Source organism: Homo sapiens, chromosome 2, assembly GCF_000001405.40.
Source record: "Homo sapiens chromosome 2, GRCh38.p14 Primary Assembly".
Lineage (NCBI taxonomy): Eukaryota > Metazoa > Chordata > Mammalia > Primates > Hominidae > Homo > Homo sapiens.
Window position 1 is genome coordinate 208,324,683 of NC_000002.12, and position 27,956 is coordinate 208,352,638.

At 35.6% G+C, this 27,956-nt stretch overlaps 1 protein-coding gene across 39 annotated transcripts in view; it reads left to right on the plus strand.

Moving 5' to 3' along the window:
* PIKFYVE (phosphoinositide kinase, FYVE-type zinc finger containing) overlaps positions 1-27,956 on the plus strand; it is a 92,691-nt gene that overhangs the window by 58,627 nt on the left and 6,108 nt on the right. For 27 of the 39 annotated variants that reach the window (XM_011510779.3, XM_047443667.1, XM_047443672.1 and 24 more), the window contains 20 exons: positions 229-355; positions 588-1,747; positions 3,498-3,598; positions 5,160-5,231; positions 5,841-6,012; positions 8,633-8,811; positions 10,624-10,737; positions 11,111-11,219; positions 11,364-11,518; positions 12,156-12,246; positions 13,826-13,886; positions 14,736-14,873; positions 15,329-15,449; positions 17,872-17,967; positions 20,429-20,512; positions 21,368-21,465; positions 23,177-23,341; positions 25,342-25,401; positions 26,089-26,265; positions 26,670-26,773. In XM_011510779.3, the coding sequence (XP_011509081.1) occupies positions 229-355; positions 588-1,747; positions 3,498-3,598; positions 5,160-5,231; positions 5,841-6,012; positions 8,633-8,811; positions 10,624-10,737; positions 11,111-11,219; positions 11,364-11,518; positions 12,156-12,246; positions 13,826-13,886; positions 14,736-14,873; positions 15,329-15,449; positions 17,872-17,967; positions 20,429-20,512; positions 21,368-21,465; positions 23,177-23,341; positions 25,342-25,401; positions 26,089-26,265; positions 26,670-26,773 (3,384 nt within the window). Of the gene's footprint in view, positions 1-228; positions 356-587; positions 1,748-3,497; positions 3,599-5,159; positions 5,232-5,840; positions 6,013-8,632; positions 8,812-10,623; positions 10,738-11,110; positions 11,220-11,363; positions 11,519-12,155; positions 12,247-13,825; positions 13,887-14,735; positions 14,874-15,328; positions 15,450-17,871; positions 17,968-20,428; positions 20,513-21,367; positions 21,466-23,176; positions 23,342-25,341; positions 25,402-26,088; positions 26,266-26,669; positions 26,774-27,956 lie in introns of those variants that run through there. The other 12 variants (XM_011510782.4, XM_047443670.1, XM_047443677.1 and 9 more) reach the window with 3 other exon arrangements.

Here is a 27,956-nt window from a genome sequence, read left to right on the forward strand (position 1 = left end):
AGTGCATTTTTATAATGTTATTAATATGAGTAAGGTTTCAGTGGGCATATATTGATTACTAAGCAACTAAGTGTAGAAGAATCCAGAATAAAAAAATTCATCATATATTTATTAAAAAGGAAATTTGTGAATGTTATTTTTTAATTTTTCCATTACTTTTCCAGATTAAATTTACAAAGATTTTTATTCTTCTCTAGTTTTGTAATACAATGTTTTTCTGTTTTGTAGCAAGTTTTGGAACGAATCAGTCGAATGACCCAAGGTGATTTAGTGATGTCAATGGACCAGCTGCTTACGAAACCACACCTGGGCACTTGTCACAAATTTTATATGCAGATATTTCAGTTGCCTAATGGTGAGTGATCTTTAGCATAGATTGACCTGAGGAAAAGAGTTAACTTATCACTACTACAATGTTTACTTACTAGGAAATACCTATTAATAGTGGGTAAGTGAGGATAGGCAACTGTGATCTTATTCATGTAAGAGTTTTTCTTTTACAGATATTAAGAGAGTGAATTAATTCTATTTGTACTTCTGGATTGCCACCTCCACCATCTTAACTTTCTGTTTGTTTTTGTTTGTAGAACAAACCAAGACACTGATGTTTTTTGAAGGTTGTCCACAGCACCTAGGCTGTACAATCAAGCTAAGAGGAGGCTCTGATTATGAGCTGGCTCGAGTTAAGGAGATCCTAATATTTATGATCTGTGTTGCTTATCATTCTCAACTAGAAATATCCTTTCTCATGGATGAATTTGCTATGCCTCCCACATTAATGCAAAACCCTTCATTCCATTCCCTGATTGAGGGACGAGGGCATGAGGGGGCTGTCCAAGAGCAGTACGGTGGAGGTTCCATCCCCTGGGATCCTGACATCCCTCCTGAGTCTCTGCCCTGTGATGATAGCAGTTTGCTGGAATTGAGGATTGTGTTTGAGAAGGGTGAGCAGGAAAATAAAAATCTTCCGCAGGCTGTTGCCTCTGTGAAGCATCAAGAACATAGCACAACAGCTTGCCCGGCGGGTCTCCCTTGTGCTTTCTTTGCACCTGTACCGGAATCATTGTTGCCACTCCCTGTGGATGACCAACAAGATGCTTTAGGCAGCGAGCAGCCAGAGACTTTGCAGCAAACAGTTGTGCTGCAGGATCCCAAAAGCCAGATAAGAGCCTTTAGAGACCCTCTACAGGATGACACTGGATTATATGTTACTGAGGAAGTCACCTCCTCTGAAGATAAACGAAAGACTTATTCTTTGGCCTTTAAGCAGGAATTAAAAGATGTGATCCTCTGTATCTCCCCAGTAATCACATTCCGAGAACCCTTTCTTTTAACTGAAAAGGGGATGAGATGCTCTACCCGAGATTATTTTGCAGAGCAGGTTTACTGGTCTCCTCTCCTCAATAAAGAATTCAAAGAAATGGAGAACAGGAGGAAGAAACAGCTGCTCAGGGATCTCTCTGGACTTCAGGGCATGAATGGAAGTATTCAGGCCAAGTCTATTCAAGTCTTACCCTCACATGAGCTAGTGAGCACTAGAATTGCTGAGCATCTGGGCGATAGCCAGAGCTTGGGTAGAATGCTGGCCGATTATCGAGCCAGAGGAGGAAGAATTCAGCCCAAAAATTCAGACCCTTTTGCTCATTCAAAGGATGCATCAAGTACTTCAAGTGGCCAATCAGGAAGCAAAAATGAGGGTGATGAAGAGAGAGGGCTTATTCTGAGTGATGCTGTGTGGTCAACAAAGGTGAGCCAGACCACTTTCTGATGCTCCTGTGCATTTAGGATGTGTTGAATGACTCCTCAAAGGCAGGCTAAAAAAATCAGTTTGGCAGACTGCATGCAGATTTGTGAAATATTTCTTCTCCTATGCTATTTTTGTTTTTGTCTTGAGTCTGCTGGCTTATGTGTTACTTTAATATGTATGAAGCAGAATTGTAATGAAACTGGGTTTCAGGGTTTTAAGGTGAGCTTATAATAAGCTAGGAAGATCCCTGAAGTAAGGGGAAATGTGGAGCTGCTTAAAATTTCTGACAACATGACTTGGATGTGGTATGATAATCCTGGATCCTTGTGTCAGGGAGTGAGAGATGGAAGCTTATTGTAGGAAATAGATGTGTTTTTTTAAAAAAGTTAGCAGCAAATATATTTGTTTTCTCAAAAAAAGTTAGCTCTTTTTTTAACATAAAACATTTTACCTTGTTATTTAACTATGACAGTGATCTTTTTCTTTTTAGGCATAAATTGAGAGCAAATTAAGGAAGGTTTATAGATCCATTATTGATAATGGTAGCAATAAAACTAATTAACAAATCCATTGCTAGATGAGGAAATGCAATTGTTTAATAAAACGAGAAGATGTCCAATTTCGCCAGTAGTCAAGGAAGTGCTAAATAATGTATGTTCAATTTCACTAGTAGTCAAGGAAGTGCTAAATAATAGTGGTGCTAAATAATTTTTTATTTGTCAGATTGACAAAAAGGAAAGTCGTAAAAGACCCATGGTTAATGATGGCATGGAAAAACACCTTTCATAAATTTTATGTAAGTTTATACAAATGTAGGTATATGTACATTTGTATAAATTTATAGAAAGTGATAGGAAAGTCTCCATTAATTTACACATACATGTATATACCTTTGACCCAGGACTCCAACTTTTTATAATCTATCCTGCAGAAATAATTAAGTATGCTTATATAAGGGTGCTTGCATTTTTTAAGAATATATGTACAAAGATGTTTATTGAAACAGTTTAAGGATGAGCAGGATCTCAAGTCATTTAATGACTTGGATAAAGCCCATGATATATTTGAAGTGTTAAAAAGCAAATTATGTTTTAATATGTGTTGCATTATTCCATATTTATAAAAACAAAACCCCCTGTTTGTACTTAGGAAGTGATGTGTGTATGTGGGACAGGTATGTAAACTAGCAAAAAGAATAGATATTTTAAAACCACAGAGTCAAACTCCGCAGCTTAGGAGGTGGAGTAGAATCAGGAGGAGCAGTTTTGTGTATTTTATGAACTTCTTCATATGCTTCTATACTGTTTCAATTTTAACAGAGAGCTGGTTTTACCTTTGTAATGATCAAAAACAGCCATAAGCATAGATAAATAAACACTTTAGAATTTAGATTTCTGGGTGTCTCAGATTGATGTTATATCCCATCAGTTCAGACTGTTAAATATGGGTATATTTAATTAATTTTTTTCCAAAATAATTTAGTGCAGTTGTGTAAAATAAAGAGTAAGTTAAGAAAACAAGCTATCTAGACATTGTTTTGTATTTTTAAGTTTAATTGAAACTTTTTGGGTTGTCTTTTCTCAAAAACCAACTGCCCTTCCTTATATTTAGTTTTCTGTAGTTTTAAATCTTGACCAGAGCCCCCACAGTGATAATTGGAGGCTTTACAAATAGAGTGGAGTGTGTTTGGTGCATTGGGGTTGAATGCGGTTGCAGTCACTTGCTCATCCATTCATTCCTTCTATTTCAGGTGGACTGTCTGAATCCCATTAATCACCAGAGACTTTGTGTGCTCTTCAGCAGCTCTTCTGCCCAGTCCAGCAATGCTCCTAGTGCCTGTGTCAGTCCTTGGTAGGATTCTTTTCCCCCTACACTATTCCACATAAGAACAGAATTCCAGCAATTAAAAAAAAACAAAAACAAAAAAACAGTCATTAGGACCTGTATTTAGGTACACAGCACACTGCTGGTCATATATGAATTGATAGAACTTTTAAACTTGTGAAGTAAATATGAAAATACATGTTTGTTCATGAGTAGAAGTAAATGAGAGTATATTAAGAGTGAAAAAAGTGTGAGGGATAGAAGAGGAATTTGTATTGGTTGACTTTCCCTTATCTGAAATGCTTGGGACCAGAAGTGTTTTGGATTTAATATTTTTTCAAATTTGGAAATACTTGCATATACTTAATGAGTTATCTTGGGGATGGGACCCAAGTCTAAACATGAAATTCATTTGTGTTTCATATACACCTTGTACACGTAGCCTGAAGTTAATTTTATATAAGATTTGTAATAATTTTATGTATAAAACAAAGTTTGTATACATTGAACCACCAGAAAGCAAAGGTTTCAGTTGTGGAATTTCCCTCTTGTGGTACCATATCAGGACTCAAAAGTTTCAGATTTTGGAGCATTTTGGATTTTGGATTTTCAGATTAGGGATGCCCAACCTGTACTTAAAAATGTGAGAAAGTTGACACACAAAAAGCTTGTTTATAAGCATTTTGATGATAGCATGTACAATTTAGGCAGGTTTTCCTTCAGGCATAATTTTTATAAAAGCAGTCAACCTTTTGCTTTATTAATGGGTTTTAGTCTAAAACTTAAGTAGATTGATAGAAACTGAAATACATTTTATGTTTTAAATTATTTTTTTCAAATTATTGTCACAAAAACCTCACACAGACATACATAGCCTTACATTACATGTTCACCTTTAGTTTTAAAAGTACTATGGAACATAACTTCTTGTTTGGGGGCACTGTCTCCATGCCAGAACATATTCTGTGTTTTAATTTTGGATAACTGAAACACTTATTTCCAGCAGTGAGCTCATGGGTTCTTCTAGTAGTATAGCTTCAGCAGGAAGACTTGGGAGTGGCAGAACCCATGGGAATTATCTCTGGGAGTTTATATATAGGTCAAGGCTTGAATAAGATGTGGATTTCAACAGTTATATAGCCAAACTGTCTTGTGAGCATTTATAGGTTAGATAAAAAGTTAGAAACTGGCACTTTAGCAAGAACTGCTGTTTTCCATGCTCAGTAAAGGCATGGACAAGAGAGTAGGAGACCAGAGTCCCACCTTGTGCTGACAGGGCTTAAGCCTTTGTAAAGGAAACCTTTACCTCTTCTTAACTCAGATCAGTTTTACTAAATTAATATTATAGTTTATGCATCCTCATTAGTTTCATAAGACACTAGTGGATTGGGAGTGAAAAAGATGCTTTAGTGTGGCAAGTCTAAACTTGTTTTATTAAAACCTGTTTCATAACAACAAAGAACATTACCTCCTTTCATACTTCATTGTAAGTACCATACATTTAATAGGTAATCATAATTTGTGGTCTCATGAAATGTCTCTGGGGCATGGTAATTCTTATGTTTCTAAGAGGTGGTCTCTTCTTTAGGATTGTAACAATGGAATTTTATGGAAAGAATGATCTTACATTAGGAATATTTTTAGAGAGATACTGTTTCAGGTAAGAACATATTTCTTCCTTCTGTTCCATTACACATTTTTGATGCTCAAAATTTCAAGCTAAAACGTAAACATGAGTCGGATGTTAAGTGACTGTTACATGATCCTCACTTTCATAGTGCATATCAGAGTATATCATTCAAAGAAGTAATAATCTATTTCATATTTAAACTGAGATCTCTTATCCAGAACATCCCTCATATCTCTGCCCATCTAATTACCCTACCATCAACATTTTTCGGATACCTGTTTTTTTACAGTGATTCAAATGAGAGGTAAAATGTTGGAATCATCTAGACCTCAGTTTAAGTCTTAGCATCATCACTCGCCACTTATATGACAAAGCACTTTACTAGTCCCCTTTATAGGGAATAACAATCCCTAGAATTATCAGAAGGTAAAAGGAAATGTTTTAAAATTGTTTGGCAAATAGAAGGTGCTTAACAAATGGAAACTATCACCGTGCTGTAGCTGAAGACGATGTTCAGCTGCAGGCTCAGAGCAGCATGAGTACCTTGTGCAGATTGTTCACTAGTCATGCTGCACTTTGACAGTGGTTCTGATTTCTGTTTCATGCTTAATGTGAGAAGGGCTCTTTTGTTTGTCAAAGGCCTTCTTATCAGTGTCCAAGCATGTTCTGTGATACCCCCATGGTACATCATATTCGGCGCTTTGTTCATGGCCAAGGCTGTGTGCAGATAATCCTGAAGGAGTTGGATTCTCCAGTACCTGGATATCAGCATACAATTCTTACATATTCCTGGTGTAGAATCTGCAAACAGGTAAATAGACCCTATTACTATATTTTGTTTGCCATTTATTTCTTTATTTGTATGTTTTTTTTTTTTCCTGAGGAGGTTTCCTATATGGTACTGGATTCGTTATTTGTTATAGAGCTCTATTTGTCATTGTTATTTTACCTTCCAGTGCTGTATGTTCAATCTAGTATTCGTTTTTTGAAGATCCCATCTTAGGAATGTATCAGTCATTAAATAAAATACAAGTGCCCTATACAGTAAAGTATCTTGAGGTTGTATCATGACATATCTCAATTTTGTTTATTCATTCAACAAACATTTAGCACCATTTATGTGCCAGATACTGTGCTAGGCCCTAGGAATGAAAAAAAGAATAAGGAATGACTTCTGTTCTCTAGGGGAGGAGACAGACTTGTAAAGCAATAACTGCAGTATATTAGGATATTTGTATAATAAATTCGAGCCTATGTGAGCATTTCTATTCACATACAGATGAGACCATGTTGAAATTGATCTCTATTGGTTTTTATGCATGTTCTTGAGAAAAGGACATGTGTTTTGTTTCTTCTTTGTGCCTTTCTTTACTTTTCTAACTCTGGGGCAAAAATTTGGTGCCAATATTGTGTTTTTTTTAAATATATGATTTTTATCCAGACTGCTTGCAATCTGGATAAAATATTCCAAATTTAACTTACTACCTTAATTAGGTTCTTTCTTTCTTTTTTGAGACAGAGTCTTGCTCTATCGCCCGGTCTGGAGTGCAGTCGTGTGATCTCTGCTCACTGCAACCTCTGTCTCCTGAGTTCAAGCTGTTCTCTGCCTCAGCCTCTGGAGTAGCTGGGACTACAGGCATGCGCCACTATGCCCAGCTAATTTTTGTATTTTTAATAGAGACAAGGTTTCACTACGTTAGCCAGGCTGGTCTCAAACTCCTGACCTCGGGTGATCGCCCACCTTGGCCTCCCAAAGTGTTGGGATTACAGGCCTGAGCCACAGCGCCTGGCCTTAATTGGGTTATTTCAAAGTGTGCTTTTGGAAGGCACATATGGGAATTATATATAAAATAATAGCACGACCTACATTAATCAGTGGTAGAGAAGGGCAAAATCAAAGTTGCACCTGCAGCAGCAAACATACAGACATAAAATTATTTCTAGCAATTCTCAGTCTTAGTTTCATAATTGTTCTTACCGACTTTAGTTCCTATTAGTTAGCTGGTAATAGTTTGTTGTAGAATATGTTAACTGGGTAGACTGACCATGGTACTAAATGAATAACTTAAATTTGATCTTTATGACTTACATGCTTTGCTATATGCACTTTATTTTGAAACAAAAACTTCTGCTTTTTTATGCTAGAAAGGAAAAGGTAAGTTTTGTTACACTAAAATGAAAAACTTCCAGTGTCAAGGAAAAATACAACATATATGACTAAACATAAATATATATAATATCAAATTTCTATGAGCCATGATAATAGAAAAATGGGCAGAGGACATGACAATGCAATTTAATGCAAATGGCTACTAAACAAATAAATAAATGTTATTCATTAGTAGTCAGGTAAGCATAAATCAGTAAAATCTCTTTAAAATTTTTTCTTTAGGAGGTTACATTTCAAAAATTTCAATTCTGATTCCTAGGATTGGGTAAGAAAGTGGGGGAAATTGATATTCTTAAATATTGTTGGAGACTGTATACACTGGTGCACTTGTTTTGGAAGATAATGTGGCAAAAATTATCAAAGATCATATAAATGTTTATGCCCTTTGACTTACCAATTCCCACCTTTATTAATTTATCCCACGGGAATAATTGTGGATATTTGTAAATATGTATATACAAGGATGTTCATCAGAACATCATCTCAGTGTGGAAAAACTTGTAATGTCTTAAAGGCACATCAGTAAGGATTGGTTCAATACATGTCCAGATACTCTGAAGCCATTTGAAAAGTTGTGCAAGAATATTTTATGTGGGAAAATATTCACGATATATTGCTAAGTAAAAGATTATGAAACTATAGGAGTTTTTATTTACAAATATACTGGCTGTGTGTGTGTCCATGTATGTATGTATATATGTATATGTGTGTGTGTGTATATATATATATAAATACATCAAAAATAAACATATACTAGTATATTGATGTTGTTGGTGGATTTATTGGTAATGCTGCTCTCCTCCACCACCCCCAAGTCCACCCACCTTTGAACTTTCTCATTCTTTTCCCAGTTTTCTGCAGTCAGTATATATTACGTTTGTATTAGAAAAGAAAATGTTGGCCGGGTGTGGTGGCTCACACCTGTAATCCCAGCACTTTGGGAGGCTGAGGCAGGTGGATCACGAGGTCAGAAGATCGAGACCACCCTGGCTAACATCGTGAAACCCTGTCTCTACTAAAAATACAAAAAATTAGCCGGGCGTGGTGGCGCGTGCCTGTAGTCCCAGCTACTCAGGAGGCTGAGGCAGGAGAATGGCCTGAACCTGAGAGGCGGAGCTTGCAGTGAGCTGAGATCGAGCCACTGCACTCCAGCCTGGGTGACAGAGCGAGACTCCATCTCAAAAAAAAAAAAGAAAATGTTATTTTTTGAAAAAGAGATTCTCAATATGTGATTAGGTAAACTATTTTTGCTGAATTCCAGGTAACACCAGTTGTTGCTCTTTCCAATGAGTCCTGGTCTATGTCATTTGCAAAATACCTTGAACTTAGGTTTTATGGGCACCAGTATACTCGCAGAGCCAACGCTGAGCCCTGTGGTCACTCCATCCATCATGATTATCACCAGTATTTCTCCTATAACCAGATGGTGGCGTCTTTCAGGTAAGAAATCCTAGGAATCTTGTGCATGATCTCAGATCTCATAATCCCTTAAGAATTTTTTTAACATTTTCACCATTACTAGATTGAATTAATTTGTGGGATTCCCCATTTATACCCTTATAAATGCAGAGGACCAGACTGTATTAAGAACTTTCAGTATTATTTTATTTACTCTTTACCCTACAAAATAGTTCTTATTATCCTCACTTACAGAGCTTACGATCATTCACTTACAGAGCTCTCAAGTGGTGGAGTAATGATTTGAACCTTGGTCGATCTACTACCAGCCTCACTCTTTTTTTAAAAAAAGTTTTAATATAGAAATTTTAGAAAAATATGAGACAGGATCTCACTGTTACCCAGGCTGGTCTTGAAGTGTGCTCAAGTGATTCTCCTGCCTCGGCCTTTCAAAGTGTGGGGATTAGAAGTGTGAGCCATCATGTCGGGCCCTGGCCTAACTCTTAACCATTGTTTTGGCATCTGATGGCATCTGAAAGTCTGTCAGAATTTTTGCCAAGATATTAACCATCAGAAGGATAATCACATAATTCTGATAGAGCTAAAAGTCTGTGTTCAAAGAATTGATAGTTGCCATTGTGGTATTAAATAATTTGAGACAGCCTTCAGGTTCTGCCTTCAAAATATATCAAGAGTCTGAGCACTTTTTACCAACTCTACCACTACCACTTTGGGCTGAGCCTCTGTTATCTTTCACCTGGATTATTGTAGTAGCCTTAGCAGTCTCCCTTTGGCCTTGTCCCTTTAGCCTCTTCTCAACACAGCAGTCAGAGTGGTTCTGTTAAGGGGCAATCAGCTAAGGCCACTCCTCTGCTCTAGACACTCCAAAGGGTGTCTGTTTCACCTGGAGTGAAAGCCAAAGTCCATTTACTGGCCTTTAATCTACCTGCACTGGCTGCCCAGGACCTCTCTGCTCTTACCTCCTACTGCTCTCTCTTCACTCATCCTGCTGCTGCCCCACTGGCCTCCTGACTGGGCCTCAGGTATGTCAGGTAGGTTGCTGCCTGGGAGCCTTGTACTTGTTCTTCCCTCTCTGAATTGCTCATTCCCCAGATATCTGCTTGTTGCTTCCTTGTGTCTTACAAGTCTTTGCTCACATTTCACCTGCCCTGACACTCCCCCATCCTAGCACTCTGCTTCTCTTGCTATATTTTTCTCCATAGTACTGAACATCTGATATGTATTTGTTTTGTTTGTTACCTGAATCTTGTTTTTCCTAAATTATGAGAACAGGAATTGTTAGTGTTATATCCTCAGCACCTAAAACAGTGTCTGGCACATAATAGACCCTCAGGGGATATTTGCTAATTAGAGCTTATTTCCTTTTTTAAGCAAGAGTTTTTAACCGTGCATGTAGGGCCTTGCGGGGGAGTTGGGTTGTAGCATTTATTAGTCGATATAAACCCTCAGGTGGAAAGGAAACCAAAGACTCATGAAGAATCTTCAGGAGGTGGAAAGTAATGAATACCTACAATTAGGTGTAGGTATTTTAGTTTCCTTATTAATAGGGATGGTTTATAACAATCGTTTTTGGTTTTACAGCAGGTAAGGATAACTTCAAGGGATAAATGATGGTACTACAGCATAATGAAAGATAAAACAAAATCCCTCCAGAATTGGGGAGGATATTTATTGTAACAGCTAAAAATTATTTTTGTGATTGTTTTAAAATACGATTTTATAGAAACTTTTCCTCTTATGCCTCATAGAATATAGTTGAACATCATGATACAGCTCTATTCAAGATATTAAGCTATTTTTCATTTTCTATTGGTCCTTGTATTTTCTTCTCAGTTATTCTCCCATTCGGCTTCTTGAAGTATGTGTTCCACTCCCCAAAATATTCATTAAGCGTCAGGCCCCATTAAAAGTGTCCCTTCTTCAGGATCTGAAGGACTTCTTTCAAAAGTAAGTTCAGTTTCTTTTATCATCTTTTTTTGTTTATTTACAGCTATTTTAAAGTATCAGATTTATTCATTTTATTTTCTTTGAAAATGTAAATTTTCTAATTGTATGCTATGCATGCTTGGTGTACAAAAAGAAAATTGTAGACGCTATGGAAAGATAATAAAAAAGAAGCCAAACTCTTTTAGACATAACAACTTAAAATTTTGAAGTACATCCTTTTAGGTCTTATTTACTCTGCAAAACTGTATGTAATTCTTAATTAGGTAAAACATAATTTCAATTACATTTTGCATGTAGCTTTTTTTTCTATTTATGTGAGATAGAAAATTTGATTCACCCTTTCTAAAGTGTTTAATGCTCTCGCTATTGTTAGAGTTTCACAGGTATATGTTGCCATTGATGAAAGACTTGCATCTTTGAAAACTGATACATTTAGTAAAACAAGAGAGGAAAAAATGGAAGATATTTTTGCACAGAAAGAGGTAATTTATTTCTTTGGTAGAAAATTCAAAAGTTAATTATTGATTAAAAATTATTGATTAAAAATCAAAAATTAATAATAGCAGTTTCTTTTGGGGTATGTCTGTATAGTGTCTGTCTCCTGAAGTTGTTTCTGTTCCTTGTAGATGGAAGAAGGTGAGTTCAAGAACTGGATTGAGAAGATGCAAGCAAGGCTCATGTCTTCCTCTGTAGATACCCCTCAGCAACTGCAGTCGGTCTTTGAGTCACTCATTGCCAAGAAACAAAGTCTCTGTGAAGTGCTGCAAGCTTGGAATAACAGGTGTGATTTTGCAGTCTGGTTTTCTTTAATATTATTGCCACATTTGTTCTAATGTGATATCTTAAAACTTAAAAATTTTTAATTATGGATGTTTCATTTTGTGCTCAAGTTAAAGAGCCTTTTGTTTCCTGTCACTCTCCTTTCCTCTTTATATTTTAAAATATATGTGGTATATTTTAGGTAGCTTGTGAAGATGTAAAAACCAAAGAGGAGAACAGCCTTTGATGCTGTTTCTAATATAATTTGAAACAATGTTGTTCAGATGTGTGTGCTGTTGAATTGTTTTTAACTGAATTAGTATGCCATAAGTCACTATTGGTTTTTGGCCAGCAATTTCAAATATATTGTATATTGATATGTTTATCTTATGCCTTTATTTAAACATTTATTTTTTAGAAGTATTTTTCTTTATAATAATTTGCTATTTTTTTTTTACAACTATAGTGAGATCAACAAATGCTCCTGGTTAATTAGATATGACAAAAACTTACTCTTATTTATATATAACTTTAAAGACTATGGTAATCCAAATAGGAAAACTTTGTGATTTCAAAGTTGTAAAGAGAAAATTTATAAACAGCACTCAAGGGGCTAGAAACAAACCATATATATATATATTTTTTGCTTTTGGCCACAGGTTGCAGGACCTTTTCCAACAGGAAAAGGGTAGAAAGAGACCTTCAGTTCCTCCAAGTCCTGGAAGACTGAGACAAGGGGAAGAAAGCAAGGTATGAAATGTAGTCTTGTCTTTGGTCCTTAATCAATAGAAATATAGTTAGTTTCATTTATAATACTTAGCAGGGATAGTTTAATATGTACTTTAGTAATGATATCCAGTAGGGTTTTCCATTTTGAATTTGTGAGGTTTCAAGGAACTATGACCTGGATTACTTTTATGTTATAACCTGAAATAAAATGATCACTTATAATTTATTTATTTGAAATGTTTATAAAAGCTACAGTTTGCTGCATCACTGAGGGTAGCATCATGGTGACAGCAAGTGCTACAGAGGAAAGTCAGTGGATGCTCTGAGTATAATAGGGTGCTCATTTATTTTATACTCCGCAGTTTTGGTTGTTTTTAAAATCTCCGTGCTTAAATAAGAGGTTTTTCTTAAGGTATTTGAACTGCGTAAGTTCTTTTTCAACTGTGTTAGTTTTCTCTTGCTCAGTGACAGATTATCCCAAACATAGTGGCCAAAACCACAAATTTATAGATAGATATATCTATATAGATATTTATAGACAGATACATCTATATAGATATATATAGATATAATACTTAGGATTATCCCTTACACCTAATAATCTTGTATAGATCTATATCTATCTATAGATCTATCTAGATATATATCAATCTATCTAGATATATCTATCTGTCTATCGATCTATCTATCTAGATAGATAGATATATCTATACCTAGATGCTTAATTCCAGGAAGCGAGCTACTATTTAGAATGCAATTCTCAAAGTGTGGTTCAAGGACTCCTGATAGTCCAAGACCTTTTCAGGGACTCTGCAAAAATTTTTTTTTTTGAGAGATGGAGTCTCACTCTGTCGTGCATGCTGGAGTGCAGTGGTGCGATCGCGGCTCACTGCAACCTCTGCCTTCCGAGTTCAAGCAATTCTCCTTCCTCAGCCTCTCGAGTAGCTGGGATTACAGGCGTGTGCCACCACACCCAGGTAATTTTTTGTATTTTTAGTAGAGATGGGGTTTCTCCATGTTGGCCAGACTGATCTTAAACTCCTGACCTCAGGTGATCCATCCACCTTGGCCTCCCGAAGTTTTGGGATTACAGGCGTAAGCCACCACACCTGGCTCATTTTTATTTTTTTTTTCGATTGCATATCTGTATGAAGCTAGATTTTCTTCATATACTTCAATCATAATGGTGTATCTCAACAGATTACATGCAGAAGCCAAATATGAATCTAGCTATTTTCTATTTAGCTAGACATTAAAGATATTTTTCAAAATGTAAAGCAGTGCTACTCTTTCACCAATTTTTTTTTTAAATTTTAGAAAATCGGTATGTTACGTGTTTAAATGTTACTTATATTAATGGGTTTATTATTTATAAATGAGTTCATGCACATTTAATAACTTTCTCTGTTTTAATTTCTAATAAGGTAAAAATTTCTAAGGTAAACAAAAGCTAATTAAAAATATTAAGGGGGTTTTTAGTAATTTTTTAACGGTATAAATGGGTCCTGAGACCAAAAAGTTTAAGATTCACTGGATTAAAAAATTTTTTGAATGTGATTTTCATGTTTTCCATAAGAACAAAGTATTTACTTCTCTACAGATAAGTGCGATGGATGCATCTCCACGGAATATTTCTCCAGGACTTCAGAATGGAGAAAAAGGTTGGTTCTTGAGTCTGGTGATCACTTGCCGTAGGATTTAAAGAAATTTCTTATTGTATAAGTTGTTTTAAACTGTTTGAGCAGTTTTTCCGATGCTGTTGTTCATAGACTTCTTTTCCTTCCTGTAGAGCACTTGTAATCCTATCAGATTAAGATTATCATATAGTGTATTGCAATAAGATAAATCAGGTTATAGAAATACATGAAATATAAAGAAGGCTGCTATTAGGGGAAGAAAAAACAGAAAAAAGTAAATTGAATTTTTTTTGCTTATTACAAAGTCAATCCCCAGGTTTCATTGCAAAAATCTTATAAAGTTTAATTTACATTTTTAATGTCACTAAAATATTGTCTAGACCTAAGATGTCTTTCACAGTATTTCATTGAATAACTTGGTGTCATCATAGAAACTTTGTGGGGAAATTTACATAGACTGTAGAACCAGGAGCTCAACTTACAATTCTTGGCATTTTTCTATTATAATTGCTTTTTCTCTCCCAGAATAAGCATGCCGTCTTTCTCAGAGTGTCCTAATTTCATTCTCTATTAAACTAAAAACTAATATTTAGGTAGGCATTGTGGTATAATGGATAGCGTGTTGGATAGGAGTCAGTCTTGGTTGACAGTTGCGGTACTGCTACCAGGATTTGATTGTAGTCAAGTCATATATAATCTTTCTGGATTTTTGTGTCCATTTCTATGACATGAGCTATATGACCTAGATGATTTTTAAAAAGTAAAAATTCTACCTTTTAGGAAGTAGGCATATGAATGAGCATTTAAAAAATATTAGGTAGACATGGACTTAATGTATGTAAATGACTCATTTAAGATTGTGTTTTTCTTTAGAGGATCGCTTCTTAACAACTTTGTCCAGCCAGAGCTCCACCAGTTCTACTCATCTCCAATTGCCTACGCCACCTGAAGTCATGTCTGAACAGTCAGTGGGAGGGCCCCCTGAGCTAGATACAGCCAGCAGTTCCGAAGGTAGAGGTTAAGTCACTTTTACCATATTTCATTGTATCTAAGACTGAAAGATATATCATTGATTTACATGAATTACAGCCATTTCTCTAAGGACAGATATTTGCTTCATAATAACAGATTCATGCCTTGCTTTCTGTTTAGGTGGTAACTACTTAAATTATAGTATAAACTTTGAAATTAACTTTAAAATTGCTATTTAACTCGGGTGTAATAGCCACAGTGCTTCAGAGATGTTTAAAAAAAACAAGTGTCCCTTGGAGTCCATGCTGTGTATGCTTCACTGTTGTTTCCTGTTTTATCCCATAGTGGTCTTTTCCCTTGATCAGAAATTTTAAACTGTTATTGGTATAGTATACATATGTCCATATTCCGAAAGGAAAAGAACCAAAGTCAGCAGTTTATACTTCTTATTCTCTGTGAATATTAATATATAAGTAGACTATTTTTCATTTTAGATGTGTTTGATGGGCATTTGCTGGGATCCACAGACAGCCAAGTGAAGGAAAAGTCAACCATGAAAGCCATCTTTGCAAATTTGCTTCCAGGAAATAGCTATAATCCTATTCCATTTCCTTTGTAAGTATTATTAAAACCAGTGGCTCTTAGCAGGGGGGTTATTTTTCCTTAGTTGCTCGCTTCATATTTAAATATATTTATCTGATGCATGATTTTTCAATCCTAAATTTTATTTCATTTTAGTAAAAGAGATGTCTTTTGATACAATGTAATTTGTAGAATATATAATCATTATGATATAGTAGATGAGTGGATAAAGCACTAGCCAGTGTTACTTATAAATGTTTGAATTACTTGTTCTGGAAACACTTGTTTGTTTATCTTTTTTCAAAGATATGTGGCTATATCCACTGATTTAATAATTATAAAAACATATTGCTGGTTATATATGAGGTTGGTAGTTGATTTGCTGGGACATGGCATTGTCCTAGCACTGATGATGAACTACAGTGACTTGTACAAGTTTTCATGTGATCTTTTTTTTATGGGGTGCACTCAAATTTGGAAAGAATATAGGCTGGCTGTGAAAGTTTATTTTTCTTCCACTGGTTGACCCATGTGGCTATCAAATGCTGCCCTTGTTATGGAACAAGTATATCCAAAAAGTGGACATTTTTGTTAATAAGGCCTTTTATTTTATTAACTGACTTACATATTTATTCAATCAGTATTTAAACTTTTATTTAGTGCCTGTTTAAGTGTCCTGTGATGTAGAATAAGATTTGTAAGGAACTGTCATCACTCTTAGGAGCTCATAATCTTTGGGAAGATACAGTTAGGGCTCACAGTACAGTATGTGATATGTTACATGACAGTAAAATATAAAAGGTCCCTTTTTTCTCTACTTTAGACCTGATTATATCAGTTTCTTGATTGGGCTTGGATCCCTCTTATGTTATGGTCTTTGTTCATGCTCTCACATTTATTTTTATTTTTTTAATTTTTATTATTTTTGAGACAGAGTCTCCCTCTGTCACCCAGGCTGGAATGTAGTGGTGTGATCTTGGCTCATTGCAACCTCTGCCTCCTAGATTCAAGTGATTCTCCTGCCTCAGCTTCCCAAGTAACTGGGACTGCAGGTGTGCGCCACCACACCTGGCTAATTTTCGTATTTTTAGTAGAGACGAGGTTTCACCATATTGGCCAGGCTGCTCTCGAACTCCTGACCTCAGGTGATCTGCCCACCTCTGTCTCCCAAAGTACTGAGCTACTGGACCCGGCCCTTTAAACTTTTTTTTTTAATATAGTTTTTTTCTTTTTGTTTGTTTCTCTTCTCTCTAAACCACTTTTTGTGAAACACAGTCTTTTTTAATCATTCAGTCCTGTTCTTTCTAAGAAGAATTTACTAGACCTTCCCCCTTACCTCCTGCTCCAGTCAGAGTAGGTTTCTATTATATGCTCTTATGATTCCTGTCTTGGTCCGTTCATGCTGCTCTGATGAATTACCATAGACTGAGTTGCTTGTAGACAGCAGAAATTTAATTCTTACAGTCCTGGAGGCTAGAAGTCTGAGATGAGGGTGCCAGCATGGTTGGGTTCTGGCAAGGGTCCTCTTTTGGGTTGTAGATTGCTGTTGTCTCTTTGTATTCTCATGTGGTGGAAGGAGGCTGAGAGAGCTGTGTCCAGTCTTTTTTATGAGGACACTAATCCCATTCAAGAGTATTCCACTCTCATGACCTAAATTACCCCCTAAAGGCCCTACCTCCTTATACCATAACATTGGGGGTTAGGATTTTAACATATGAATTTTGTGGGAGCTGGGAGGGTAAACATTCATTCTGTAGCAATTCCCTCATAGCACTTACCACAGAGATTATATTTATTTATTTATTGGATTATCTGTTTCTTTACCCCCACTACACTATAAACCCTATGGTGCCAATTTTTTTTTTCGCCATTGTATTGTTAACATCTTACACATGTAAGATCCTTAAAAATAGTTTTTCTTCATATTGTATCCTTGGCATGTTTGGTGTTCAGTAAGTAGCACCTAAATTAAAAATGACTGTGCCTAACAGTGCCTAGGTGAGTTAGGGTCGGAGTCAGGGGAGCAAAATTTAAGTTGAAATGGAGCTACACTGGGTTTTTTTGTGTGATAATAGTAAAGTGGTTGTGTTGCATTGTTTATTATTGAACTAGTAGTATGTCTTCTCCACAATTTCTAGAAGACTTTTTCTCTCTAGCTTGTAATGGAACAAAATATTTTAGACTTCTGCTGTTCATTTTAAATTCTTTTTGAGATTAGTGTGGCCAGAGTCTTGGCAGTATGGAAAGGTTTGTTTGGAGTGACTATTGCAGAACTCTCTGATTTGAAACCTAATTAATTCTGATAATTTTCTAATTGCCTTCAAAAACTTTCTCTTGAAATCTTTTTCTTTCCTAATGATTCAGGTTATCATATCTGCATACATTTTGGCTTTCTTAATTATATTCTTAACTCTAGAGTACTTAGTTAACTTATGTATTTTAAAAATTTGCATAGTGATCCAGATAAACACTACTTAATGTATGAACATGAACGAGTGCCCATTGCAGTCTGCGAGAAGGAACCCAGCTCCATCATTGCTTTTGCTCTCAGGTATTATTCATGGGACTTTGACTTATGATGATATCTATGTATTTTATGTATGTCTATTAATCCCTTATTTTTGGAATCTTTCACATAAAGCAAAATGATTAAATATAAGCAAAAATATATGTTCTTTAGTCGTGATAGCTTGTTCTTTTTTTTTTTTTTTTTTGAGACAGAATGTCACTCTGTTGCCCAGGCTGGAGTGCAGTGGTGCAATCTCGGCTCACTGCAACCTCTGCCTCCTGGGTTCAAGCAGTTCTCCTGCCTCAGCCTCCCGAGTAGCTGGGACTACAGACACACACCACCATGCCCAGCTAATTTTTGTATTTTTAGTAGAGATGGGGTTTCACCATAATGGTTGGGCTGGTCTTGAACTCCTGACCTCAGGTGATCCACCCACCTCGGCCTCCCAAAGTGCTGGAATTACAGGCGTGAGCCACCATGCCTGGCAGCTTGTTCTTTTTGTGCATAAAAATCTTCTCTGAACCCAAATAATGAAGTATAGGATGATTCCTAAGTAAGCTCCTAATAACTAAATTGACTTGGCAAGTTATTTACTGAGCCTTGAATCCTCTATCCATTCTGTTAAAATATGTTTTCCCTTGTATCCCTTCTCTCAGTTTACTTGTTGACATAGTACTTGGAGCATCCTGCCTTGTACAATCTGAATATCTTTTTTGTACCATTCACTCATTTTCTACTACCCTACATACGAGGTAAAATTTTTCTACTTAGAAAACAGCAGTCACCTCTTACCCATTGAGGATATGTTCTAAGAACCCCTGTGGATGTCCGAACCTACAGATAGTACTGAACCCTATAAATGCTATGTTTTTTCCTGTACATACATACCTATGATAAAGTTAAATTTATAAATTAGCCTAGCCACAGTAAGAGATGAACAACAACAATAAGATAGGACAGTTTTATAATAATATACTACAACAAAAGTTATGTGAATGTGCTGTCTCTCTTTCTAAATATGTTAATGTTTTTGGACTGCAGTTGACTGTGGGTAATTGAAACCATGGAAAGTGAAACTATGGATGAGGAGGGACTACTGCAATGCTGTTCTTATGCCTTATTCCGTAGACATTTCTGACTTTTTAGTTTATACAGTTATCATATATCTTAAAGCTATATCCACTGTAAAAATATATAGTATGTCTAAAAGGGCAAAGCTTTTAAACTTTTTTTTTTTTTTTTGAGACAGAGTCTTTCTCAGTTGCCCAGGCTGGAGTGCAGTGGTGTGATCTCGGCTCACTGCAAGCTCCGCCTCCGGGTTTCACGCCGTTCTCCTGCCTCAGCCTCCCAAGTAGCCCGCCACCATGCCCGGCTAATTTTTTTTGTATTTTAAGTAGAGACAGGATTTCACCATGTTGGCCGGGATGGTCTCCATCTCCTGACCTCGTGATCCACCCGCCTCGGCCTCCCAAAGTGCCGGGCTTACAGGCGTGAGCCACCGCACCCAGCCTTAAATCTTAAGAACATCTTGGTGGTAGCTGAACTTAGTTTAAATAGAATCTAAGATGTTTAAAGCAATTTTTTCCCACTGGAAGGCATTACAGTTTTTAATTTTTCTTGTTAGATGGTGGTTCCAGGGAGTCCATTTATTCAACAAATATTTGAATGTTTACAAAATGTGATATACTAGATATTGGATGTACAGGAGTAAATAAGATAGATTTACATGCCTCTGCCTTTATGCAGTTTAGAGTTTACTGTGTAGATAATGAGGAATTTTTTTCCTTTATAAGATTCCATATGATAACATTTTTAGCCTTTGCCTTTGGCCTTTGTGAACATAATATAAGCTTCTCACTTTATTTAATAGTCATAATATATTAATAGGTAAGAAAGGTAAGAGAGTCAACCAAATCAAAAGTATTTTTTGTACTATTAGGAAGTAAGGATTCTAGCTGAGATCATCTTTTTTCAATGTCTTAGAAAAACAATACATCCTAACATGCCTCTCTTGTTGCATGACATTTATCTAAAGCAGGGTTCCTAAACTGCTAACCTAAGAGTCAGGTTTTTTTTTTTTCTTTTTGGTTAATAGAACATTAAACATTTTTTTCCCCTTAAAGTTTAGTATGTTAAGTAGAAAAGCACTCTCAAGTTCTTTTTTTCTCTATTGTACTCAACACTGAGGCTTCAAACTTTTACCTGTTCAATCCCTGAAGTCATTTGATCTAAATATTAGTAAGTAGGCTTTTAAAATCTTTGTTGAGGGTATTGATACTGGTTGATGAGTCAGTGGGTCATATTTTGTATTACCTTCTATGAAGACATTGACCTTCCTCATGAAGCTTCTACTTGATTGCTTTTGTCAGTTAACCAAAATTATTTAATTATGGAAACGTATAATGATTGTGCTTCTATAATGCAAAACTTACTCTAAAGCTTATGATTTACTTTTAAAGAAGAAGTTAATGTTTAACGTTTTTCAACCTATTTCTGCCCTAAGTTGTAAAGAATACCGAAATGCCTTAGAGGAATTGTCTAAAGCGACTCAGTGGAACAGTGCCGAAGAAGGGCTTCCAACAAATAGGTGATTCATGATTGAGTAGAAACTATTTTAATTTAGTTATGTTATCATTTTCTATATGCTTGTACTTCAGTTTTATTACAGCATTTATCATCATAAAAATTTCTAGGATTCAGATAGTGGCACTCATATTTCAGCCAATAATTGAGACAACAAAGCTCAAATATAGCAAAAGAACTTAAACAGTCCCTCAGGATGCAGTTTTATGATAATTGCAATAGCAGTTAAATGTATATTGCAGATTTAAGGACATTTTTGAAAAAAATGAAAAGGTGTTTTTATTTAAAAAATAATAACTTGTAAAATTGGTAAGCTCCTGCTTGACTTGGCAATTCAAAGTATCTGTGAATTGTTTATAATAAATAAAGGTCCTAATACTTCAAAAACCAAACCCAAACCAGTTATTTTGGCAAGTTCAGTATTTTAGACTTTTAGACAGAAATTGTCACATGCTCATTATTGTGATTCTTACTGAAATAGAGTTTCCATCTCTACTAACATTATAGTTTTATCTGAATTGTCATTGTGATAACTAGTGTGAGAGAAAGGAATTGATATTTTCTGTAGTTGTTTGATTTATGGGTGCTGATATAGTGTTAATGGACTTGGGAAACATAATGTATTCCTCCATACATTTTTATAGTTACAGCATTTCACTTTAAGTCCAGTAGATATTTCAGACTTTTTTTTCTGTGTTCTAGCCTGTGTTTATGTAAATTATGAATCAGACTTTTGATATTGTAGGTGGGCTTAGGTAGGAAGTAAATCAGTGTACAGCGTAATTAGTGTAGAGTACTTACTATTTTCTGTTTGACTTGTATAAAACTAAATTTTTCTTTTTTTTTCTTTTCATTTTAGTACTTCAGATAGCAGACCAAAGAGTAGCAGCCCTATCAGATTACCTGAAATGAGTGGAGGACAGACAAATCGTACAACAGAAACAGAACCACAACCAAGTAAGATTACACATGGAGGAATATTTATAATTAGATTTACCTATAATTATGGTTTGAAAAAGAAAATACATAAAAACAAATAAGTACTATCTGGCAATGATTTACTACTTATGATCTCTGAAATACAAATTTAGATATTTTTGTATGCCCTCTTTATACGTGTTTTGCTTTTCTTCGTTGATTCTTGTCTCAAGTGTAAGTTCAAGGTATTGAATTAGAAACTTTTAGAAGCTCTTTGGTCTATGCAAAAAGGAGAATCTGCTTCCTAGAAGAGCTTTCAGTTTAAAATATACAACCTAAGATGCAAGATACGTTTTTTTCCTTTCTAGTTTTACAGTATTACTGGCACTATGAAAATAAATTTTCATACATTCCCTCCTTTAATCCCCCTAGTAACCACATAAGAATTATTTGACATATCCTTATTTTTCAAGAAGGAACTTAAAATTTAGATTTAGTAACTTGTTCAAGATTTGACAGTGCTGGAGCTGGGATTTGAATTTGTGTTTCTCTGACTTTGTCAGGAACACATTCAGCTACAAGTAACACAAAATTCAACTGTAAGGATTTAAACAAATGACAGCTTATTTTTCTAAAATAACCAAACCTGGAGGTTGGCAGTTGCTGGCATTTGTTTAGCTGCTCAGCATTGTTATAACATTAGGGGAATAGTTTCTCTATGATTCCTTTACGTTTTCCTCATGGTTAAAAGTGTTTCATTTTTGTTTGCATTTGAGGTAGAAACAAGGGTGTTGCAAGCTGCCGCTGTTCTCTTTCATTAGGAAAGCAGAGGCTCCTCCTTTAGTCAGTCTCATTGGTCAGAACTGAGGCTCATGGCCACTCCTGACTGAAAGAGACAGAGAAAGTAGGGAGCAGCATTGTCCCGGTTGGGTTATACAAATCATGATCCTTTCCTGGTGCTGTACACATAGTTACACACCCCACCCCGCTCCCCTCTTCCCCTAAGTTGGCATTCTGTTGGTGGGGAACCAGGTAGGAGTGGATATTAAAGAGGCAATACTAGTGTCTGTTACCCAAGTAAGCACATTTATGATTGACATTTTCTGTGAGTTTTGTAAATGGTAAATTTGCAAGAATTAGAATCATATTAATAGTATGATGAATGAAGCTCAAAACTAGGAGTAAAAGTATAGAGCAAGCTTTAGTAAATTCTTGGCTGTTTGATGGCCTTTTTTATTTTTTGAAAGATGCTAAAAAGGAAATCTTATATTTTCCTGTGTTAAACTGTAGGAACACAAATGACACAAAGATGTTACCTTTAACTGAATTCTTGTAGCTTGTGAAATTGTTTTGTGTTCATTTAGTTAACTATATTGCAATACTGTAAGAACTCAGCCCTAATATAATCTTGTTGCTTAAGCTGTGACTGCCTTTGAAAGATATTTTTGAAAGGCTTTCTAGATAATTCCCTATATTTTTATATTAATCTAGCTGAGTGTTAACCTTCTATCTTTTTTTATGTTTTTATTAATAGGGGTTTTTGTTAAAAAGGGTGCTTGATTACGCAAAAACAACATGTGAAACAATAAGTAACAACATGAAGGACAATGTGCAAACAAAAGTATTTGCATTACTCAGATTGATTAGCTTCATATAGTGGTTACAACTAACAAAGAAATGAGCTGAAAATTTTTATTTTTCATCTGTAGTGACCTGTACTTAAAATTAATATGTTACTTCTTATTTTTAGCCAAAAAGGCTTCTGGAATGTTGTCCTTCTTCAGAGGGACAGCAGGGAAAAGCCCCGATCTCTCTTCCCAGAAGAGAGAGACCTTACGTGGAGCAGATAGTGCTTACTACCAGGTTGGGCAGACGGGCAAGGAGGGGACCGAGAATCAAGGCGTTGAGCCTCAAGGTGTGTTAAAGAAGAGTAAATGTGCTTATTCTATGCTTTGATTTATTTATTTTAGTTGCATATATTTCTTATAGCCTTAAATAGATAATTCTTAGTGCTGAAACTGGGGCATTCCCTCTGTTCTCACTTGTCAGTGTGGTAGAGTGGAAAAAGCATGGCACTGGGAGAGTCCAACTACTTTCAGATTTCACTGCCATCGTGTACTGTGTGGTAGAATCAGAAATCTTTAGTTTCCATAACGTGTAAAGTGGCAAAAACAATGTCTTCCAAGGTTGATGTGACATTCCACATGTAAAAACATTTGTCTTAATATGTAACTCATATTATATACTCAAATGTTTTCATTCCACTACTCCCTCAAATGTTTTCTTTCTTTTCAAGTCCCTGTAAAGTTGCAGCTATTTATGTCCCCTTTCATTTTGACATTTAAAAATTATGTCTAATGCTGGGTGAGATGGCCCATGTCTATAATCCCATCACTTTGGGAGGCTGAGACGGCAGGATCACTTGAAGCCAGCAGTTTGAGACCAGCCTGGGCAATAAAATGAGACCTCTGTCTCTACCAAAAAAAAAAAAGTGTGTGTGTGTGTGTGTGTGTGTGTGTGTGTGTGTGTATCTACCTCATTGTGTTTGGGTATGGGTTTAGATCAGGAATAGGCAGACTCTGATGACCTGTTTTTGTAAATTAACGTTTATTGGGAAACAGACCCATTCATTTACTTATCATCTGGTTGCTTTCACTTTATATTGGCAAGTTGAGTAGTTGGAACTTTTTCAGAGTGAAATATTTGCTCTGTCTCTATATAGAAATAGTTTGGTGACCTCTGGGTTAGTCCGTGAATTAGTAGTTTTAAAAAATAGCAACTGCTGGGCCCAGTATGGTAATCCCAGCACTTTGGGAGGCTGAGGCGGGCGGATCACTTGAGACTAGGAGTTGGAGATGAGCCTGGCCGACATAGAGAAACCCCATCTCTACTGAAAATAAAAAAATTAGCCGGGCCTGGTGGCGCATGCCTGTAATCTCAACTACTTGGGAGGCTGAGGCACGAGAACTGCATGAACCCAGGAGGTATAGGTTGCAGTGAGCCGAGATTGCGCCATTGCACTCCTGCCTGGGTGACAGCAAGACTCTATCTCAAACAAACAAAAAAACCAACTGCTGTAATAAATTTTGACTAGTAATTAAGATATCTGTTTAGTATTCTATAGGCTGCTTGCTATTGGGCTGTAGCTGTTTATAATGGGATCCTTGGAAGGCATAGATGCTTCAAAAATTATTTTGAAATGTGAAACTTAGGGGACTATTTGTTCTTCTAGATATTAAGATGTATTTTAAATCTCTAATAATTAAACAGAAAGTAGTAGGCTTGCAAAGCAAGTCAGTCACATATAAAAAAATAGCTCTGACATAGATTCTAGTATATTTTATGTATAAAAATATGTTTTAAGTATATTAATATATAATTGTATTATATGTTAATTATGTATGTTATATAATTATATATGTTATAGGCTAATAAAGTTATATATTATGTAACTAGTATATAATTTTATGTTTTAAAATTATGTTTTATAAAATAATATTTTATGCATATTTTATATAGCTTAGTACATGATAAAGCATTGCAAACTATTGGGGAAACATTATTCTACACACATGGGGAAAATAGTCATAATAAAGAAGCCATGGAAGTTCTTGGTATAAGAACTGAGTTACTATATTGCCACTGTAGGAATCATTCAGTTGTAAGAAAAAGTATTCAACCTAAATTCTCTATTTTTCTAATTTAAAAACTGAAATTCCAAAAAACATACATTTTTATTGTGATCATTTAGACAGTTTAATTGTATATCTTATGCTTGCTTGATAGTGACTTGAGTAGGATATTTTTACTTTTAATTTGCTAAGTTTTTTTGTTACATCAAGGAAAAAGGAAAGGACAAAATGAACTGATAATTACTCAAAACCTTGGCTTTACTAATGATATTAAACCTTTTAGATGAAGTAGATGGAGGAGATACACAAAAGAAGCAACTCATAAATCCTCATGTGGAACTTCGTAAGTATGAGATATTATATCATTGGTTTGGGGAGAGGGACTACAGTTGAGCCATCTCTATTATTTGAGAATTCTAGCTTCATACTAAATAAATGTCCCAGTTCTTGAAATGAATATTAAGTCTTTATGCTGACATGAGGTATATTTAATCAACAGTTTATAAAATATAAATTTAATTTATAAAGAAATTTAATCAAAAGTATAATTTATTTGTAAATTATGCTCTTATTTCTAATAGTTAAACATTTACTTATTATGTAATCTAGAGCCACAGAATTTTGACAGTTGCATTTAGAATTGTGTATATGTGTGCCAGAAACGTATTATCCAGAATAATATGTACAGTACATTTTAAGATATTTATTAAGAATTACTATAAAAGTACAATGATGTTAATATGGTAGGTAACAAGTGTAAAATTAGAACTGAGTCTTTTTTTTATGTGATTTTTATTTTTTTCTCTTTTTTTGGAAAGTATGTAAGGATGGTCATACGATGTTCTTTAATTCCCCCTGAAGATCAGTTTAACAAAATTGTGATAAATAGGGATTTGGATCTAACATGCAAAATGCCATCATGAAGAAACTTAAGTGGTTGCATTTGGCCAGGGTAGGGAGTGAGGGAGCGGAGGAGGAAAGATATTTTCTGAGTCATAAAGCTTTTTAAAAAAACTTCTGTTGTTTATAGAATTTTCAGATGCTAATGCCAAGTTTTACTGTCGGCTCTACTATGCGGGAGAGTTTCATAAGATGCGTGAAGTGATTCTGGACAGCAGTGAAGAAGATTTCATTCGTTCCCTCTCCCACTCATCACCCTGGCAGGCCCGGGGAGGCAAATCAGGAGCTGCCTTCTATGCAACTGAGGGTGAGCCTTTCTCATCGTTTATTGATTGGTTCAGTAGTCTTCATCTCTTTACCTCAGAAAATGCAGCAGGAAGGATATTGCTTAATAAGAACTTTCATAACTATGACTTACTAGTTTTAACAGAGGTGTTTATAAAGTTTTATTTAGTAGTTTTAAAAAGTAGATCTTCTAGAACTGAACTTAGATGTGTTATTGACAAAAGTAGAGGGTTTTTGACTATATAAATCCACAGGATCCCTTCAGTTAATTGAGAATTGTGTTCTGATCAAAATTTTCACTGTGACATTAGAAAATTCCCCTTAAAATCATAAAACAACCTAATCATTTAGGATCTTTGGAATGATGTGTTATAGATTACAGTATATATTGTGATTGAGTAAACACATAAAATTTCTGCCTTTTAGATGATAGATTTATTTTGAAGCAAATGCCTCGTCTGGAAGTCCAGTCCTTCCTCGACTTTGCACCACATTACTTCAATTATATTACAAATGCTGTTCAACAAAAGGTAGAAATCTAAAACCATGGTCTGTAATCAAAGTTTGGTGGCTTTTTTCACATCCTGAATCTTTCTGTTAGTCTATTCTTGTGTTGCTATAAAGAAATACCTGAGGCTGGGTAATTTGTAAAGAAAAGAGGTTTATTTGGCTCATAGTTCTGCAGGCTGTGTATACAAAGCATAGTGCTGGCGGCGTCTGTTTCTGGTGAGGGCCTCAGGAAGCTTACAGTCATGGTGGAAGGCAAGGGGAGCCAGCATGTCACATGGTGAGAGACGGAGCAAGAGAGCGGGGTTGGGGGTGGGGGAAAGTGCTGCATTCTTTTAACTAACCAGATCTTGCGTGAACTCAGAGCAAGAACTTATTACTGCAAGGACGGCACCAAGCCATGTATGAGGGTTCTGCTCCCATGACCCAAATACCTCTCACCAGGCCGCACCTCCAACATTGCAGATAACATTTCAACATGAGATTTGCAGGGGCAAACATCCAAACTGTAACAGTCCTAATGGCAGTTTTCTCTGTGGTAAGATATATGCAGGACACAAATTGATCTCTGTTATGCTATTGAGGTATTATAGGATTCAGAGATCTTAAACTATATATTTCCTGCGTTTGTTAGTGAGGAACCAAGTGATCTTGAGCAAGTTGCCTTTAATTAGTTTATATAAAAAATCACTTAAGACATTAAGACTGGATGAAATTAGGTGCACATTCAGTAGTTGGTAATTTTGCTGAGACTGAAATTTGAAACGTGTATTGAGAAACAAGGGGATGCTTCCTTTAGCTAGAAAGAGAGGCAGCCAATGGCCCAGGTTTGCCCACTTGTCATTGAGCAGCCACCAGTGCCCCCCACCCCATCCCAACTGCCATCTTAGAATCATGAAAGAGTTACATAGTTTTGGGTTTTTTTTTTGAAGTTATCATGGTTTATTACGTAGTATTGGGGGAAATTACATGTCATAATGAAGTTTTTGAATTTAATCAACTGAAGGATTATTCCTTGGGAGAATGTTAAGGATCTAATATTTTTATTGGCATTGCTGCTGTACTCACTTCTGAGATTCAAGAGTTTGAGTTTTTTTCAAAGTCCTTTGGTCATATTAATAGAAAATTATGTTCAGTTATTACATGGATAATCCTTATATTGGTATTAAATTATAAATAACCCTTTTTGATAAGAATTTATTTTGA